The sequence below is a fragment of the Homo sapiens genome, chromosome 13 (assembly GCF_000001405.40).
Source record: "Homo sapiens chromosome 13, GRCh38.p14 Primary Assembly".
Lineage (NCBI taxonomy): Eukaryota > Metazoa > Chordata > Mammalia > Primates > Hominidae > Homo > Homo sapiens.
In genome coordinates, this window is record NC_000013.11 from 35,596,480 (window position 1) to 35,616,492 (window position 20,013).

Sequence of the window (20,013 nt, forward strand, 5' to 3'; positions counted from 1 at the left end):
GTAGATGGTTTTATTCTGTCTGTCTCTATTAATGTCAGTCTCTTCCTGTGCTAATGAACGCAAGCTGGGAAGAAGGAGTGCTGCTGAAGTGACCTTTCAGGAGAGAGGTCTCTGGAGTTGAGTCAGACTAGTTAGTTTTTACTTTATTATTATTTTTTAAATTTCTTTCCCTCTAGCCTAGTCTTGGTAACAATGACATTCAACTCACTGAAGTTCTTACACTAATTTTCCTTAATGCCTTCAAAAGTTGTTATATTACTTTTAGAATAGCTATGTAGATGTCAGAAAAGGTAGCTGTGACAAAATGTCATTAAGGTGACATAGTGTAAATTAATACAGTTAATGGAGGTGCTCGCCACTGACTCATTGACCCATTATGAGCTCTTGTGGAATTAATGAATGCCAGGGCATCAGTCTTTTGAAAAAAAAAAAGAAAGAAAAGAGATGGCAGCTTTAAAACCTTGCAATGAATTATATTAGAAAAGTGAAAACGTCTGGATCGGATTTGATTTCACTAGGAAGCCATAAAATGGTACGCTCTCTCAGCAAAATATATTAAACTGAAATGTCAGATTTGATGCAATAGGTATACAATTATGATAGTGTTAATAGTGGTCTTCTATCATTCTAAGACATACTTTCAGGTCCAATTTCTCAGCAGCTTGAACTTGTCATAAGCTTATAAATTAGGAATCGCATTTGAGGATATGTTCTTATTTTTTGACAGAATGTATATAATACTATTAACTATACCGTGGGGTTTTAGTGTAGCTGCTAAAATAAACTAGAAATCACATTTATAGACACAAAATGTCTGCTATAATGTTCATTTTGCCATTTCTTTAATAATATTTGGTGTTTTCCTGCACTGTTTTTCATTTAGGAAATTTTAAACTACTTAGACTTTTTCCTTAAAGAGAAGCTGATTAACAGAAATTTATCAATGGGAAGAGAGTCAGCAGAACAGCAGTTATCTTAAGCATGCAATCTAGTGTCTAATGTGCCTCTGTAGGAGTACACTTACACATTATAAAAATAAGCCCATCTTTTAAAATAATACTGAATAGTTTTCAAACATGTTTTTGTTGGTTGATACAGTCCTTGAAACAATCCTATGAGGTAGTAGTCATTAACCCTATTTTGTAAAGGAGGTTCATGAATATTAAGTGACTCACCTAAGTTCACACGCAGGCAGGTAAAGAGGAAGCCAGTACTAGCACAGAGTCTGTCCAGTTATTTAAGATGCTTCATATCCAAGAGGATTTTAAGAATGGGAGCTGCAAGGCCACTTCATGCCTAGGCCCGGAAGTCACATCATGTTACTTCCACAGCGTTGTATTGCTCAAAGCAAGTCATGGGGCCCTCCCAGAATAAGGAAGAGTAGACACGGACTCCACTTCCTGATGAGATGAGTTGCAAAGTCACATTTCAAGAGGTCACTGAGGGTGGAGGGATTACTGTGCCCACCTTCGGAGACAGTCTACCACAGTCCTCCGAATCTGGTCAAAATTCACATTCCTCTTACATGTAAAATATACTCAACTTGTTCCCCACAAGTCCCATCCCAGTATTTGTATCAGACTGAAAATCTGGTATCTTGTTGTCTACATAAGCCCCAGGTACAGATAAGGCACAGCAATTCCTAATTTGGAGACCTGGGAGCTAAAAAGACAAATTATCTGTCCCATGTACACACAACATGTGGTGGTAAGACAGAACAGTTAAACTTCGGTAGAAACTCCATTCAGAAGGGGGAGAATGTGGAAGGTACATAGCAGTCAATGTTCATAGCAGTTCTGAAACGCAGCCAGGAATAAGTTGTCGATTACCCAGACTGCAGGGACAGGGACTGTCCATGGATTAGGGCCCAGGTCTGTTATCTGGGCTTGGCTCCTTAATTCATTATTTTCCATGGCTCTTGGTTACTTCCTCTGGGACATTGGCTTTGCCCTCTGAATCGTTCTTTTGTTTCCAGAAGAAATAAACATGGTTTGCAGCTGAGTATCTTTCTCTGCATGCTTCCTGACCATAGAAAGTTAGGGCCAAAGCCTCATATTCCCAAGTTGGTACAGCAGCTTTAAAACTGTGTAGCCTTTCTGTGTATCAAATTAGAAAAAGCTAATACTCACAAATCCTTTTGGAACAGGATTCTCTCTTTCAAGCTGTGAATTAGGATACTGTTTATAATGCCCTAAGAATCCCTTTCTCGTGAATCACTCTGTGTAGCTGAGCAAGTCTGAAAAACACTACCTGAAATTTTAACTTTTATAAAAGGGTTTTACAGACACACCCTTGATTTTAGCTTTATTCTATGGCCATATTTTACTTGTAGCACCTTCGAATTGATCTCCATCCTGAACCTATGTCTTATTTTGAGAATCTTTTGCCAACTGAAGAGAGTGTTCTAGGCCCTTCTATTGCTTGAAATACTGCTTCAAAACTGAACAGTTTCTTCCTGAGTTCATCTCTCTCTTGCATAGCTTATCTCTTTTGCATAGCTTACACCATTAGATGAAACCATTGGTCACTTTCAGCATTCTGCCTGGAAATCTTCTAAGTCAGAAGCACATGCTTATTAGGTACTTGTTCTGTCTTTGAAATTATTGCAGAAGACGATGTTAATTTTCCACCACTACTTAAGAGGGACTGCTTCCAATAACAACTTCCTTGCTGATCTTCCAGACCCCACCAGGCTCCTCACCACCCCTCCCACTTCTGCCTGCTGCCTCATCGCAAGCCAGAATCATGTGTTAAATTCTTTTTATTACTTTAGCACTCCACTTTGAGGATTCAGTTTCTGTTTTGGTCATTTATGACTTTGTAACAAATCACCCCAAAACCTATAGGCTTAAAACAACTATTTATTCATCGACAATTATGCAATCAGAGTTAAGGCTCAAAAAGGACAGCTAACCTCTAAGCCACACAGTGACAGTGGGGCAGCTTGACTGGGCGGCAGAATCTACAGTGGCTTTGCTCACATGTCTTGTGCCTCATCTGAGATGGCTGGAACAGCCAGGAACTGCCTGGGCATGTCTGTCTCTATCACATGTTTCTATAGCAAGGGAGCCACTCTATTGCATGTGGTAACTGGCTTCTAAGAGGACTAAAACAAAAGCTGCCAGGCCTCTTAAACTCTTAGGCTGCCCTAAGAAGCCTTGCAGTGTCACCTTGTCACGTTCTGTGTGTTGAAACAAGCCAGGCCATATTCAGACAAGGGGGAAATAGACTCCACCTCTTTATGGGAGGAGTAAACTGGAGATGCCAAAGGGCTTGCTCTTGGGATGGGAGGACTGTTATAGCCATCTATGAGAAAACTCTGTGAGTTACCAATTTAAAAAATACTTTAAGTACTAGTTTGGTTTGTACCATTCTCTACAGTCTGAGTGTGCATTTAGACATAAACCAAAATCTCATGAGCAAGCAATTTATAAAATACATCTGATTAGTTTAGGTAATATATGTTAGTCCATATATATGTCAACTTTAAATAACCATATTCAGAAAATATGATTAAGTGTAAAGTTTGTTTGAGCTCAAAGCTTGAGAATGGTCACCCCATAACATAGGTTCAAGTAGCCCTGAATATACACTCTGATTAGCAGCAATCATAAATGGGTTTTTAAGAAAAAAAGAAGAGGCAGGTCCTAAGTTGCTTACCAAGAATTTACATTAAAATAAGATAAGCCATTGGCTATACATTGTTCTTTGTATCACCGATTTCAGGAACTGAAGATAATGGGTAAGGCAGCTGGTCAGAAACCAAATGCCTTTTTAAACAGTTGCTCCCCAGGCTTGGGTTGAGGAGGCAGCATGAGTGACTGATGTCCCACACGCACGTCTCTCTGGACCTGATGAATTTTTGCATGCCTCACATAACTCAGACTGCTGTGAGCTATTCTTTTCCTCATATTTGCTAAAAATACTTGCATCATCTGAACTGTCTACATAGCTATTCATTGAAACACAATCCACAGTGACAGAACTTTTTTACTGAATTACAGGATGCACTTTGGTACTGGGTAAACTCTAGTCTCAGAAGTAATATTTTTGATCCGTGCCCCTAAAAAAAATTGAGACCAAATAGCTTCTAGAATATATTTTATATAAAGTTATGAAATGTATTGTTTTATAAACATTATTTCATTTAATCCTCACATCTACCCTAAGAGTTCATTGCTGACATCACCACCATGTTACATATCAATAAACTTTTTGTCAAAAGGTTAAGAAACCTGCCCAAGCTAGCAAGAAGTCTGGATTGGACTCAGACCTGTTTGATTCTGATGTATGTAAGGTAGCATTTCCCTGGTAGAAGAAGGGACAATCCCAATGCTGCTGCCTGCCCAGCTTCCCCCTTTATCTTCAACTCACTGGTAGCCATGAGGTTCCTCTTCTTTAAGAAACACACTTTGAGCCGCGTACGGTGGTTCATGCCTGTAATCACAGCACTTGGAAAGGCAGAGGTGGACAGATCACTTGAGATCAAGAGTTCGACACTAGCCTGGCCAACATGGCAAAACCCCAGCTGTACTAAAAATACAAAAATTAGTCAGCCATCATGGCGCACACCTGTAATCCCAGCTACTCGGGATGCTGAGGCTCAAGAATCGCTTGAACCTGGGAGGCAGAGGTTGTAGTGAGCCGAGATGGCACCATTGCACTCCAGCCTGGGTGACAGAGCAAAACTGCATCTCAACAAAAAAAAAAAAAAAGAAACACACTTTGAAAACCAGGGCCTGCAAAGTTTTTAATCAACATTTCAATGCCTGAAATTTAGGATATGGTAAACATAGTAATCTTGATTCATTTTTAATTTCACAAATATTTATGGATTACATATTATATGTTAGCACCATTCTTAGCAAGATAGACAAGGTCCCTACCTTTTGGGATTTCTATTATGATGGGACATGCAAGCATACAACAATAAATAGAGAAAATAATCATTGCTATGCAGAAAATTAAAACAGAGTAACGTCATATAGAATGACTAGATGGTGGCCGGATGTTGTGGCTCATGCCTGTAATCCCAGCCCTTTGGGAGGCTGAGGTAGGCAGATCACGAGGTCAAGAGTTCAAGACCAGCCTGGCCAATATGGTGAAACCCCATCTCTACTAAAAATACAAAAATTAGCCAGGTGTGGTGGCACACGCCTGTAGTCCCAGCTACTTGGGAGGCTGAGGCAGAAGAATCGCTTGAACCTGGGAGGTGTAGGTTGCAATGAGCTGAGATCATGCCATTGGACTCCAGCCTGGGTGGCAGAGCAGGACTCCATCGCAAAAAAAAAAAAAAAAAAAAAAAAGAAAAAAAAAAAGAATGACTGGATTGTTACTTTAAAAGGCAGAATACAGAATATAGGAGCAGGAAACCTGGATTTAAAGTATCTGGGTTTGATTTTTGGCCTTACTACCAATTTGCAGTGCAGCCATTAGCAAATTACCCACCCAATCTTTACCTCAGTGTTCATGTCTATAAAGCGGGAATAATGAGAACACCTACTTCACAAACTTTTTGTGAAGATTAAGAAAATATATGTAAAGCACTTAGAACAGTGCCAAGACATAGAAAGGTACCAAAATAAATGTTACCTGCTGGTTTAAAACAGAATGACCACAGGTAACATTTAAGTTGATTCCTGGCCTTGGAGCACAAATGTAGTAATTGCCATCTTCTTGCACATAACCAGTTAAATCTCAGAGATGAAACGCTCATATTCTTTGGTTTATATTTTTGAAACAACAAATCTTTTCAATAATGGAATTGTGAATATAAATTATACTAATGTCTTGTGTTTACATACACTAACTTTAAATAAAACTTGCTATTTGAAACAAGATTGTAAAACAATAAAACTGAGACCAAAAAAAAATCTCACCTCTGCTGCTTCAGCTACTTCTCCCTAGACTTCTTGTGATTTCACTTCCTCTACTATCCCCTTCACAAAACTCCAAACTATCCCCAACTCTGGACTTCGGGTTCAGAGAGCTTTAGTCACTGATAGCTCTGGTGTTTGAAACCTCTAGGGGCTCTGCAAACAAGCTGTGCTTCAGAAGTTTCTTTCTATCTGTGTTTAAAACATGTCTGTTTAGTGATTGTTTCCATTATGAGAAATCTGGGAGAGTTTCTTTGTCCCTTCAAACATCAAGCCTCTAACAGCTTACATCTACATCTTAGTTAATGCCCTAATTTATGACCACATTTGGGTGGCCTGATAAGAATGGAGCCAAAAAAACCATCCTTACTTAGAAGGGTGTCCTGAAGGCCCTGGTAACACGACTTCTTTCTATGACTAGCCCCAGTTAGGGCCTCCTTGAATGATCCTACTGGAGTATTCTTCCTCCTGCCCTTCTAAAGAACCATCAAGACAGATCTTTCTAGGCCTTCCTTGTTCTTTGGTGGAGGCCAGCTGTTAGTGCCCTTCTTTCTAGAGTGCCTAAATGAAAATGAAATTAGTCTTCTGCCACTTTTGCAGTTTGAGAACAATTCTGATGGCAACTTTAAAATCAACTTTTTCTATATTTAAATTGAGCTATTTTATACTTTTGAGCCTTTTAAATGTAACTTGAATAAGCAAGATAACATTTTTTAAACAGAAAAGTTTCCCCTTAAAAGGCAGATTTCATTTCAGGGTTTATATCCTTTTCCTTTTCTTTAATAAAGTTCTTCATTCACTCTTTCCCCATCTTGAGGCATTTTTCTGACCATCTGTGTATTCCCCAGATTTCTAGTCTTATTAAAATAACTTCATCCAATATCTTTAATAGCTTAATATTTAATGAGCACCTGCTGCGTGCAAAGTATAGCACTGAGAGCTACGAAGGATCCAACAAAACATAAACCTCACAAAATAGGCTCAAAACTTTGCGTTTGCCCAGATTTTATTCATACTAAAATTGCATTTTCCCCAATTTTATTCACATTAATAAATATGACATCCTATGTTTCTTGCGCCTTTGTGAATCTAATTTAATGACTTTCAGTGAAATTGCATTGTAGTGGTAAGTAGGTTAATAATGACCACATATTTTATACAGGAAAGAATGGGAAATAATATATGAAAAACATTATAGAGTGCCAAGATGGTATAAGATAAATTAAGACTATTTTAGTTGTTTAAATAAAACTAAATATATTTTGCTATGTACATGTAGATATATACGTTCCTCTCTGCCCTCAAGGAAGCTTCTGTAGCCTCGTTGTAGAGATAGGGCATGAGCACAAATAACTGACGAAAGGCAGTAAGGGAAACACCTGATTTATGTGAGTCTAGTACATATAAATCACACTCCCAACCGAGCAGCTGCACAAGCTTACGTTCCTTCCCACTTTGGACCCTTTAGGGTGTTATTGCTATTGTGTCACATGAAGACCAGGTCATATGCAAATAGCAATAGTCTTTGCCTTCTCTGCGCCTTTTACTAATTCCTCATGTTTTCCCAAAGAGTGAGAGTAAGAGCAGAAGAAACTATATATTTTACATTCATACATTGAAGTCATAAGATAATAATATGCATTTCTGATTGGATGCCAATACATGAGAACAGCAGTGATTCTTTACTTCTACTCTCCTGTCAGCGATCAAACCAAACTGCTCCTTCCGTGACTGATAAACACTGTCATGTTTGCCCAGCCTGGAAATCAAACTCATGATAGTCATTGCTGATAGAATAGTCACTGCTGAAGTGCCCTTTAGCCTGTCTTATCCTTCAATTAAACTGTATGATTTTTGGCAAATGAACATGTGTTTTCTACAGTATGGTTTTTCTTTCAGCCTCTTCTCCATTTCCCCGTTCATATTGGAGTCATTGAAAAATTATATTAATTTGTATTAATTCCACTAGAATTCTCTTTTCCTTTTTCGTTGTGGCCTTGAGGTCTTGTACATAGTTTATTGTTGATACACATTTGGCCCCTAGTGTGAGCCATCTAATTCCCTCTCTTTAGCTCTGTTGTAGATTTCCCCTCTTTGATAAAGTTCCACAATAGGGCCCCTTTCTCTCCACACTTAGCAGTTGCCCTTCTCTCTTTCTCCTCCCTATACATGCATATACACCACATCTTCCCATTCTCCAATCTCTCCTTTACTTTGTCACCCAGTGTCTTGCTATAAAACAAATTTGACTGTGTTAAAAACTCTTTTTTAAAATTTCTAAACCACTAAGACAAAATCCAAACAGCGTATCCTTCATTAAACTTTTCTCATCCATCTGGCCTCATATACCTCCCACCATCTCATCCCTCCCTTGTCTTGATCTACCCACAATATACCCTGTTCTCCTCTTGTGCTCAGTTTCTCACCATTCCATATAACTCCCTGAGGGTGCCCGGCCCCCTCTTCTGGTTTTCATCTTAGCCATGCTCCAACTCCAATGGCCCATCTCCAATGAAGTCTCTCCTGACTTGCCCAGAATCCCCTGCTCTTTCCTCCCTGCTCCCTTCTTCCTCAGCTGCTATTGTGTATTATAACCATCTGGTTCTACATCTGCCCCACAGGCCAGACTATGAATTACTTGACAGTAAGGCCATGTCTTGTTCATTTTTTGTTTCCTGAGTACACATCACAGTTTCTGGTACTAAAAACCTTTACTGTATGCATAAGTAAATGTCAGAGAAATATGTAAAGGATTTTAGAAAGATTTCTATTTAAATAGAAGAAAACTGAGATTCTTAAAAAGCAAAGCTCCATTTATCCAGAAAAATCATTTATATGGACCTGTTGATGCACCCATAATGCTGGAGAAAATGAACATTTATATTTTTCTTATGGCTCACAGTGATCATCATAAGAGTAATGGTCAGTTTCACACAGAGTGTTACTAAAATGAATGCCCACTTAAAACAGATATATCAGTTTTAGTGGGAGAACTCGTGAAGAGAAAGATTTTATATATGCTTTTTCTAGAAAGTTAGGGATCCAGTTTATTTGAAGACCTCAGTATGTGGTGGTTTTAATTTTTTCTATGCATCCCTAGAAAAGACTACAGTGAGATTTAAATTTCAGATGCTATGCCATCAATGTTGATCATATTACACAAATAAATGTGTAGCCTCACAACCCTATCTTGATATTTGAAAAAAGATGATCAGGATGGTACACATAAAAACTACAGCAGTTTGTTTTAATTTTCTCCCAATTACTTTTTAAAAAACAACAAAAACTTTCAGGGTATTAAAATCAGTTCATTTCTACATCAGATTTATTCTAAAGTAACAGAAACCTCAAATTAGATGCTGTACATCACACACAAGTTCTCCTTGAATCCAGTTGTTTATGCTACAGTTACATACAAGTAACACAAGTTGTCTTTGCATCCAATTTATTGAGAACCTGTCATTTCTATGGCATGCATTAAATATTTAAAACTGTTTATCATATTGTGTATCATCTCTTTTATTGTGTTCAGTGATTGATATAAAAATAATTTACTTTATCAAGTAAAAAAAACTATGAATCTCTTTATAAAAATCACATATTGTAATTGTCAGTATAGTTAAAAACAAAAGTAGAAAATATGTGATCTATTACAAATACTGGCAATTAGTTTTTAATTTGGATAGTTCATAAATTTTCAGATGAAGATTTTACACAACATAGACTTGTTTATATAGCTTTACATATTTGTTTTCTAATGCTATTGTGAACTGTTGTTAATTTGTATACTCATTTCTCTTCATTAATTTATGGGAGGATAAGATTGAAAATAGGTAACATTTTAAAGTAGCTATCATAAACATAAATTTTCAAGTGAATTTTTCACAAGAAATGCTTCATCTCAGATCTTTAAATAAAATTAAATGAAGAATAGAATAGAATTAATTCATAAAATATTGGTTTTAAGAAATTATTTTATTCCATTTATAGTTAATAAGTTATAAGTTAATAGTTTTATTCAACTGATTTTTATAAAGTGGTTTAATATGCTTCATTTTTATTCCTGATAGGAACTAATTCCAGAGTTCTACTACCTACCAGAGATGTTTGTCAACAGTAATGGATATAATCTTGGAGTCAGAGAAGATGAAGTAGTGGTAAATGATGTTGATCTTCCCCCTTGGGCAAAAAAACCTGAAGACTTTGTGCGGATCAACAGGATGGTAAGAGAGATTTTGCTTTTGCTTGGGCAGTCATCAGGGAGTTAACATATTCTGTAGTTTTGTTTTGTCCTGTTCTTTACTATAATATTACCAATTATACTTAACATCTATAAATACAAGCTTAAAATTTTAAATGAAAAAGAAAACATTTTACTGTTGTCTTGACAGCATTCCTTATTGTAGAGTGGATTTTCCGTTCATGAGGACTAATAAAGCAATGGTAATTCAGTTATGTTTGCTCCTTTAGGAGAAGACAATCAGATGAGCATCTGTTGACTAATATAATGTATTCTAAAGTGCTTAAAATAAATGCCTATTTCTTAGTTTTATCTACTGACTAAATCTGAACGCTTTTTTCACTTATAAAAACACTCAGAACAGAAAAAAATTTATTTAGAACATATTTATATGTGCGATATTTATGCTGTGAAACATACCTTATGGTGTAAACATTCTGAAATAGAAAACATCTTTTTTTGTTTTGTTTTACAGACAGTGTTTCACTCTGTTGCCCAGGCTGGAGTGAAGTGGTGCAATCATAGCACACTAAAGCCTCAAACTCCTGGGCTCAAGTAGTCCTCCCACCTCAGCCTCTTGAGTAGCTGGGGTTATAGGCAAATGCCACCATGCCAAGTTAATTTTTAAAAAAGATTTTTTTTGGTAAGATAGGATCTCACTATGTTGCACGCACTGATCTTGAACTCCGGGGATCAAGAAATCCTCCTACCTAGGCCTCCCAGAAGAAAACATCATTATTTTAAGCTATATTACAGATATCTGGGTGTTTAAATGAGAAATGTATAAACAGAATGTTCACATATGGGAATTTGATGGGTTTTAATACATTTCACACATATTTAAGGAGATTTTAATCCCAACATGGTTATAGTAGGTGACAATAAACCACTTTACAAAACAGCCTCTCTAGTGTACTCTTGAATTACATCAATAAAACCAATGACGCCAAATATATTTTTAACCCTGTTTCATTCACTCCCAAGTTTTTCCAACTGTCTGATAAATATATTTTATTTTGTTTTTACAGCTTATTTATTTGAATCAGAATTCAAATAAGGTCCACACATTGTGAGGGAATTCACATATTCCTTAATCCTCTTTTCTTAAAGAGCTTAATTGAAATATAATTCATATCCTGTGCAAATTGTTCATCATTTAAAGTAAAAAAAAAATGAATATTAGTCCATTCACAAAGTTGTGCAACCATCACCACAATCAATTTAAGAGCATTTTTATCACCTCATAGAGAACCCCATACCTTTTAGCATCTTCCCCGATTTTTCCTGATTTCCCCATTCTCCCCAGCTAGCCCAAGGCAAACACAAATCTACTTTATATCTCCATTGATTTGACTATTCTAGACATTTCATGTAAACAGAATCATAAAATATGGGGTTCTCCTCCCCTCCTCTCGATTTTCTGTCACTTTTCTTTTGGACTTTACTGTCAGTCACACATTTTCTTCTATTTTGGAGCTGTATGTTCTGTCTCTAAGAAATATTTTACTTTTAACGTACTTTATTTTAGAAAGTTGCTGATGTAATATACCTATGCTTAAAAGCATCATCTAGATAATCTGCAATGTGTTCTCCCCCCTTTTTTTTTAAGAAAATTTCATGTTTTGCATAAGTCTTATTGCCAATCTCTCTCACTTCTCAATCTGTTAAATTGGCACTTTCAGATATATGCAGTTATTTCATACTATTCCCTTGAACAATAGCTTATTTCTTCAATTTATATTTTTAATGTGAATGACTTATATTTCAGTAATATATACTTCTGAAAATTTCTGATTCTTTTTAGAATTGGTATTTCATCACCACATTATTCTCACATACTTGAATGTTATCTGTAAATATCAGTGTAAGGATACCAGCGCTACAAATGGAACCCTAAAGGCTCATTGTATATCAATATCTCTCAGTCACATCATTCCATTGTAGCTCCAGAGCTCAGAGCCCTGCTTGGCACATACTAGTTGTTCAGGAAATATTTCTGAGTGAATGAATGAATTAATGAATTATAGAGGTGTAGTAATCTCATAGCTGTTAGCATATAGTCTATTAAGTCCAAACCAGTCAAACTGAATGAATCCTTCACTCCGGCAAGCAAAGTAGCCAATAGTTGTTGGACCAATGCTTTTGTTGATCATGCTATTGAACAGAATTCTCATATGGGTGCTGATAATAAGTGCCTCTTACCTGTCAGGCATTAAGCAAGGCACTTGATTTTTTTTAACATTTATTTTACAGATAAGAAATATGAAGGCCAGACATGTTTCATAATTTATCCATGGCAGAGCCCAGATTCAAGTACAGAAAAGTTTTAACTCCTAAGTTATACTCTTTCCAGTATGCCAGCTACCTCTGATATTATCTCTTCTTTGTGAAATTCTTTGAGATTATTCGATCTCTACTTTTAGGTTTATAATTGTCAATCCAGACCTTATTTATTTCCTTTAACTTCGTGGACATGGTTAATGCAGATCATTCACAGATAAAGACTGCAAGTATACTAAGCTTAAATATGCATTAAAGAAAAATAGAGTGGTTATCTTTATTATCCACTGGACATTTCACATTTATTAATTTGCTAATGTTTACTGATAATGTACCAGGAAATGTATATGACATTTTTTAGACTTCTAAACATGCAGTAATGCAGACTGGATGAGCAGGAGGCCACTGTTGTTTCCCAGTCCCAGGACTAGGCCACATTTCCTGCTAGAAGAGTACTATTTTCAGTGGTACCCATTCCATTCAGTGTACAGATAACTTTAGGAAAGGGATTTGCCTTCTTAATAAAAGACTGAAAGTTTGAGAAGAAAGTTTTAGGATGAGCGAAGATTTACTATGATACAGGGAAAGGACGTATGTTTTTTAAAAATTGGGGAAGTGGGCTCTCATGTAAATGATCTAAACCATCTTGTCTTAAGTTTCTAGTAGAGGCCTAAATTAACAAAATTGTGTTGTGAAAAGCATAGGGCATTTGGCGTTAGCATTTTTGAAAGCAGTTATGTAAGATCAGTTTCTCATTATAGTTATTTAAGCAGAGACTTTTTTGTATTGAAAAGAAGCCATTGGAGAGAGAGTATGATGTCTCCTTTCAGTTTTTGCAGCAGCTCCCTTATCTTGCGTTACCAATAGCAAATTTCAGTGAGAACAGGAGTAACTAAGTATTTAAACTAGTACTTAATTATAATACAGGTAAATACTTCTCCAGATAGAGAAAGCCTGCGCAGAATGCTGTTTGGAAATAGGAACACAGCTAGTCAGTGGTCTTGGTGAGAAGCTGCCTGCTCTGTAAATGAGCCGAAGTCATAACAAAGATAGGTGGAAGTAAAGGTCCTCAGTGATATCTCTTCTTAGGAGTACGTCTGCACTGATGCTTCCAAATGCAGACATAGGAAACAGTGGACTAAGTGATTGGTCAAATGCCTCCAGATTCGTCCACTGAAAAATAATTTGTTTGCTATAGAAATTGGTCCCCACAGTTTTTCCTCCTTTTTGTCTTCCTCTCTGCTCATAGCTCACACTGTCTTCTTAGCTGTTCTGCTGTGTTTATTGCTTTACCTGATTAATAGACATGGCAAAACAGGCTTTAAAGATAAATTGGTGAAACCTTGTCCCTACAAAAAATACAAAACTTAGTCAGGTGTGGTGACACAGTGTCTGTGATTCCAGCTACTCAGGAGGCTGAGGTGGGAGGATCGTTTGAGCCTAGGAGGTCGAAGCTGCAATGAGCCGAGATTGCGCTACTGCACTCCAGCCGAGATCGCGCCACTGCACTCCACCAGAGCAAGACCCTCTCTCAAAAAAATAAAATAAAATAAAGATAAATTGGCATTCAACAAATGGTGCTGGAAAAATTGGTGCTAGAAGAGTTGGATATCTATATCCAAAAAAAAGGAAGGGGAAGGTTTCAGTCCTTACATCACACCATATAAAAAAATTAACTCAAAATAGATCATGGACCTAAGTTTGAAACCTGAAACTATCAAACATCTAAAAGAAACATATAGGAGGAAATCTTTGTGACTTTATGTTAGCAAAGATGTTTTAGATATGACAACAAAAGCACAACCTATAAAAGAAAACATTGATACACTGGACTTTATTAAAACTTAGCTTGTTTGAACACTACTGTAAGAAAATTAAAAGACAAGCCACAGGCTGAGAAAAAATATTTCAAAACACATCTAATAAAGGACTAGGATCTAAAATATATAAAGAGCACTCAAAAATCAATAAAAATAAAACAATATTTAGATAATTAATTTTTTTAAAGGAGGGGCAAAAGAATCTTCAGCGAAGAAGATATGTAGATGGCAAATAAACACATGAAAAGATGCCTCATATCAAAAATTAATCCACAAATTAAAATTAATCAAATTGAAACCACAGTAAGCTACCATTACACATTAGAATGACTTTAAAAATTAAAAGGGGGAAAAAAAAAAAAACCTCTGACATCCCAAGCCCTGGTAGAGATGCACAATAGCTGAAATTCACATATCCTGCTGGTACAAAACAGTTTGGTTGTTTCTTATAAACACACACCAACCATATAACCCAGCAACCCTGCTTCTTGGTTTTAGCCCCCCAAAAATGAAAACTTATACAAGTACATCAATGTTTATAATGGCTTTATTTGCTTTCATCAAAAGCTGGAAACTACCCAAATATTTCTCACCTGGTAAAGGGATAAACAAACTAAAATAAACTATAGTAACTCCATATTATGAAGTACTAGTTAGCCATAAAAAAGAACCAAGCACTGATACATGTAACAAAATCACTTTCTTGCTGTCACTTGGATGATGCCAAAACATTTTTAACGGCTTTATTAAAATATAAGTTATATATCATAAAATTCACTTGTTTTCAGTGTACAATTTAATGATTTTTAGTAAATTTTAACAGTTATATGACCATCACCACAGTCTAATCTTAGAATATTTTCACCACCCCAGAAAGATTCCCTGCCCACCTCCAGCCCAAGGCAACTGCTAATCAACTTTTTATCTCCAAAGGTTTGCCTTTTCTGTGTATTTCATATAAAAGGAATTATACAATATGTGGTCTTTGAGTTTGACTTCTTTGAGTAGTTTTTGAGATTCACCCATGTTGTAGCATGTATTGGTACTTTGCCCAACTTTTTACATAATACTACCACATTGTGTGGAATATCACATTTTGTTCACCCATTCATCAGTTGATGAACATTTGATTTGTTTCTACTTTTTGGCAATTTTGAGTAATGCTGCTATGAACAGTCATATACAAATTTCTATGTGAACATACATTTTTATTTATTTGGGGTATAGACCTAGGAGTAGAATTGCTGGGTCATATGGTAAATTTATGTTTAACTTCTTAAGAAACTGCCCAGCTGTTTCTCAAAATGACCTTGCATTCCCCAGCAATGTATGACAGTTCCAGTTCCTCCATAGCCTCACTCCCACTTGTTATTACCTGTTTTTTTTTTTTATTACAGCCATTCTAGTGAATGTGAGGTAATATCTCATTACAATATTTTTTTTTCTTTTTTTTTTGAGACAGAGTCTCGCTCTGTCGCCCAGGCTGGAGTGCAGTGGCACCATCTCGGCTCACTACAAGCTCTGCCTCCTGGGTTCACGCCATTCTCCTGCCACAGCCTCCTGAGTAGCTGGGACTACAGGCGCTCGCCACCACGCCCGGCTAATTTTTTGTATTTTTAGTAGAGATGGGGTTTCACCGTGTTAGCCAGAGTGGTCTCGATCTCCTGACCTCATGATCTGCCCACGTTGACCTCCCAAAGTGCTGGGATTACAGGCGTGAGCCACGGCGCCTGGCCTACAATTTTAATATATATTCCCTAGTGACTAATGATATTGAGCATCTCTTCATGTATTTATTGAATGCTAAAACATTTTTAGATTTATTTTAATAAAACATTTAGTGATTCATTATAGACACAGAATTTGTGTTCTTCATAGTCAAAGAAGTTTGTATGCCCCCAGAATTAATAATTTTATTACTGATGTGCCTAAATGAAATAGAAAAGCCAGTCTTGCTTTTAAAGACAAATCCCCTAGACAGTGTTATACCCCAAATTTTTTGAATGTAGGAAAAGCTAATAATTATTGTTGATGAGAAACCTTTAAATAATTAATGTTGGTATAAGCTAAACAAGCAAGACCTACCTATATCTGCAGAAAATGCTACATTCAACTAGTGTGTTGGGTGGTAATGCAATCCAACTAAATAAACTTTCCAGATAAATGAATTTTCTAGATTTTCCTAAGTGAGAACTTTTTAGAAGCATTATGGTTATCTGTTAAGTTTTATTTTATTTTTAATTGACAATTAATAATTGTTTATATTTATGGGGTATACTGTGATCTTTTGATATATGTATACAAGTCAGAATAGTTAGCATATCCATCACCTCAAATATTTATCATTGCTTTGTGGTAAGAACATTTAAAATATATTTTAAAAATATATATATTTACATATATATATAAATAATTAACTACAGTCACTTTGCTGTGCAATAGAACACCAGAGTTTATTCCTCCTAACTGTAACTGCACCATTGACCAACATTTCCCCTTTCCCTATCCATATCTCCCATCAGCCTCTGGTAACCACCATTCTACTCACTACTTCTATGAGTTTGACTTTTTTAGATTCCATACATAAGTGAGATCATACATTATTTGTATCTCTGTGCCTGGCCTATTTTATTTAACATAATATCCTCCAGGTTCATCCATGTTGCCACAAATGACAGAATTTCCTGTTATTTCTTAAAGCTGAATATCATTTCATTGTTTATATATACCATATTTTTAAAATCCATTCATTCGTTGGTAGACACTTAGGTTGCTTCCATATCCTGGCTATTATGAATAATGCTGCAGGGAACATGAGAATGCAAATATCCCTTTAGCATACTGATTTCAGTTACTTTGGGTAAATACCTAGTGGGATGGCTGGATTATATGGTAATTCTATTTTTAGTTGTTTTTGTTTGTTTGTTTGTTTGTTTGTTTGTTTTGAGACAGTGTCTCACTCTTGCCCAGACTGAAGTGCAGTGGTGCAATCAGTGACCACTGCAGCCTTGAACTCCCGGGCTCAAGTGATCCTCCCACCTCAGCCTCCCAAGTAGCTGGGAGCACAGGTGCATGCCACCACACCCAGCTAATTTTTAAATTTGTTATAGAGATGGAAGAGTCTTGAACTCTTGGGCTCAAGTAATCCTCCCACCTCAGCCTCCCAAAATGCTGGGATTACAGGCATGAGCCACCAAGCCAGGCCTATTTTTAGTTTTTTGAGGAATCTCCAAATTGTTTTCCAAAATGGCTTTACTAATTTATGCCACTACTAACAGCGTAGTTGTTCCCCTTTTCTCCACATCTTTGCCAACACTTATCTTTCATCTTTTTTATAATAGCCAATCTAACAGGTATAAGGTTATATCTCACTGTGGCTTTAACTTGCATTTTTCTGATGATTAGAGATGTTGAACATTTTCTCATATGTCCATTGGCCATTTGTATGTCTTCTTTTGAGAAATATTTATTTAAATTCTTTGCCCATTTTTAATAGGATTATTTGTTTCCTTGTTGAGTAGTTTCGGTTCCTTGTATTATGGTTATCTTTCTAAAATTTATTACTACTTTGTTCCCTGCCCTTTTATACAAGGAATGATACTTCATTTTTTACTTAAAAAAGTCAAGTTTATCATCCTGAGTACCCATTGTTATTCCATGAAGTGATATAATTCCATATCTATTATTTTCTACTTTCTTCTTCAGGTTGTCAGCTATCAGTACAGTTCCCTTTAATAGCCCTCAGCCATACCAATGAAAATTGGTTGTTTACAATCTCTTCTAGACTACAAAACCAGATAATTCATTGTATCAAGCCCTTATTATAAGGCTTAAGAATCAGTCAAGTGCTCAGTGAGGCCGTAGAGGAAATGTGAATTTTGTAGCTCTGATAGGGAGTGACTTTAGCCTCTACCTCAAGTTTCACTGGCCACTGCTGATTTGGAAGTTGTGTATCAACAGATGAAGTGACAAAACCATCCTTAGTAAATTAATGTAACTACAGGCAGCACCAGGTTAACACTTCTTCTTACATGCAAACAGCTATCTGGCTGGCCTAAGGCATTCTTCTCCCCTAGTATAGCTGCTTGCATTTGTTTCTCCTCTTTCCTCATTCCAAGACTTAACTGCTGACAACTGCTGCAAATCAGAATGGATACCCTAATCTTAGCCACCTTACCCCATACCCTAGTGATAGTCCTGAGTCATCCTGATATGAAGGTTGACCAGGATATCATAATGGCAATGATAGTGCTTGTAGGACATGCCATTTGAGTGTGTATTCTGTGCCAGATACTGTGCTAGAACTTCAGGTGCATCATTGTTTTAATCCTTAAAAAATCACTTTCAGAGGCCAAGGCAGATCGATCGCTTGAGACCAGGAGTTCAAGGACCAGCCTGGGCAACATGTTGAAACCCCATCTCTACTAAAAATACAAAAAAAAAAAAAACAAAAAAAAATTAACAAGGCATGGTGGTACATAGTCCCAGTTACTCGGGAGGCTGAGTGAGAGAATCACTTGAGCCCAGGTGGACAGTGAGGCAACATCACACCATTGCACTCCAGCCTAGGTGACAGAATAAGACCCTGTCTCAAAAAAAAAAAAAAAAAAAATTAGCTGAGGAGTTATTGACCTGAAACCCATTGAGGTAAAAATATATTTTTTTTGAGACAGAGTCTTACTCTGTTGCCCTGGCTGGAGTGCAGTGGCACGATCTCAGCTCACTGCAACCTCCGCCTCCTGGGTTCAAGTGATTCTCCTGCCTCACCCTTCCGAGTAGCTGGGATTATAGGCATGCACCACCACGCCCGGCTAATTTTTTGTATTTTTAATAGAGACAGGGTCTCACCATGTTGGCCAGCCTGGTCTTGAACTCCTGACCTCAGGTGATCCGCCTGCCTCAGCCTCCAAAAGTGCTGGGATTACAGGCCTGAGCCACCATGCTCGGCCCCATTGAGGTAAATTTACATGCCAAATACCACCACCTTATCAAGGTGTCAGTGTTCTTATTCACAGTCTCCAGGATAGGTAAGTGGTGGTGGCAGGCAAGAGGAGCCGTGGAGGAGAGGAGAAAGGAGAAGAGAAGGAAATCCGAAGCCAGCTCCGTAGGGTGAGCAGAAGATGGGAAGAGATGAGAATTCAGCATGGTCCAGCCCCAGCAGCTTTTAGGGCCTGACTGTCTATGGTCCCTGTTTCTATATCTTTTACCCTCCACCCTTACCCGTAAGGCTTCCTTTCACTGCCAGGAAACCCTGAACTTACAGCTGAGGAAGTGCCAGCTCTCTCTGCCCATCTGGTATGAGAGGAAGTGTGTCCTCCTTCAATTCTACAAATGGAAGAAATGATATTCATTTACATTCTAAGCTTTGTAGTCATGGGATTTTAGAACTGGAATACACCTTTATTTGAATGAGGAGTCTGAGGCCTAGGAAGGCAAAGTGGTTCATGGAAACTCTGAACCCAAGTGCTTTTCTAACTAACCATGCTTGGTGTCACAAGTTGGAACTCTGAATGTAGTGTCCCCTTGTTCCGTCTTAAAGTCTGTAAAATTCCACCTGTATTTTGAATTAAATTTAATTTATAGATTGACCTGCGAACAAAACCATAGTAGAATAATACTGTTTCTACTGCAATATATATTCCAATCACCAAATTATAAAGAAACTTTGGAATATCCTGTTTGTTATTTGCAAACTGTCTGTATCTGTGCTTAGATGGCCTCCAAACACCTAATTGTGACCCAGACTTAAAATTCAGTTTTCCTCAGTGACACTCTGGTCTGTCTCAGTACACATGTG

General features: G+C 37.0%; 1 protein-coding gene across 14 annotated transcripts in view; it reads left to right on the forward strand.

The window, feature by feature from the left end:
- Window positions 1-20,013, forward strand: part of NBEA (neurobeachin) — a 730,467-nt gene that overhangs the window by 654,210 nt on the left and 56,244 nt on the right. For all 14 annotated transcript variants that reach the window (XM_047430271.1, NM_001385012.1, XM_006719803.4 and 11 more), the window contains one exon: window positions 9,947-10,099. In XM_047430271.1, coding sequence (XP_047286227.1) covers window positions 9,947-10,099 — 153 coding nt within the window. The remainder of the gene's footprint in view (window positions 1-9,946; window positions 10,100-20,013) is intronic.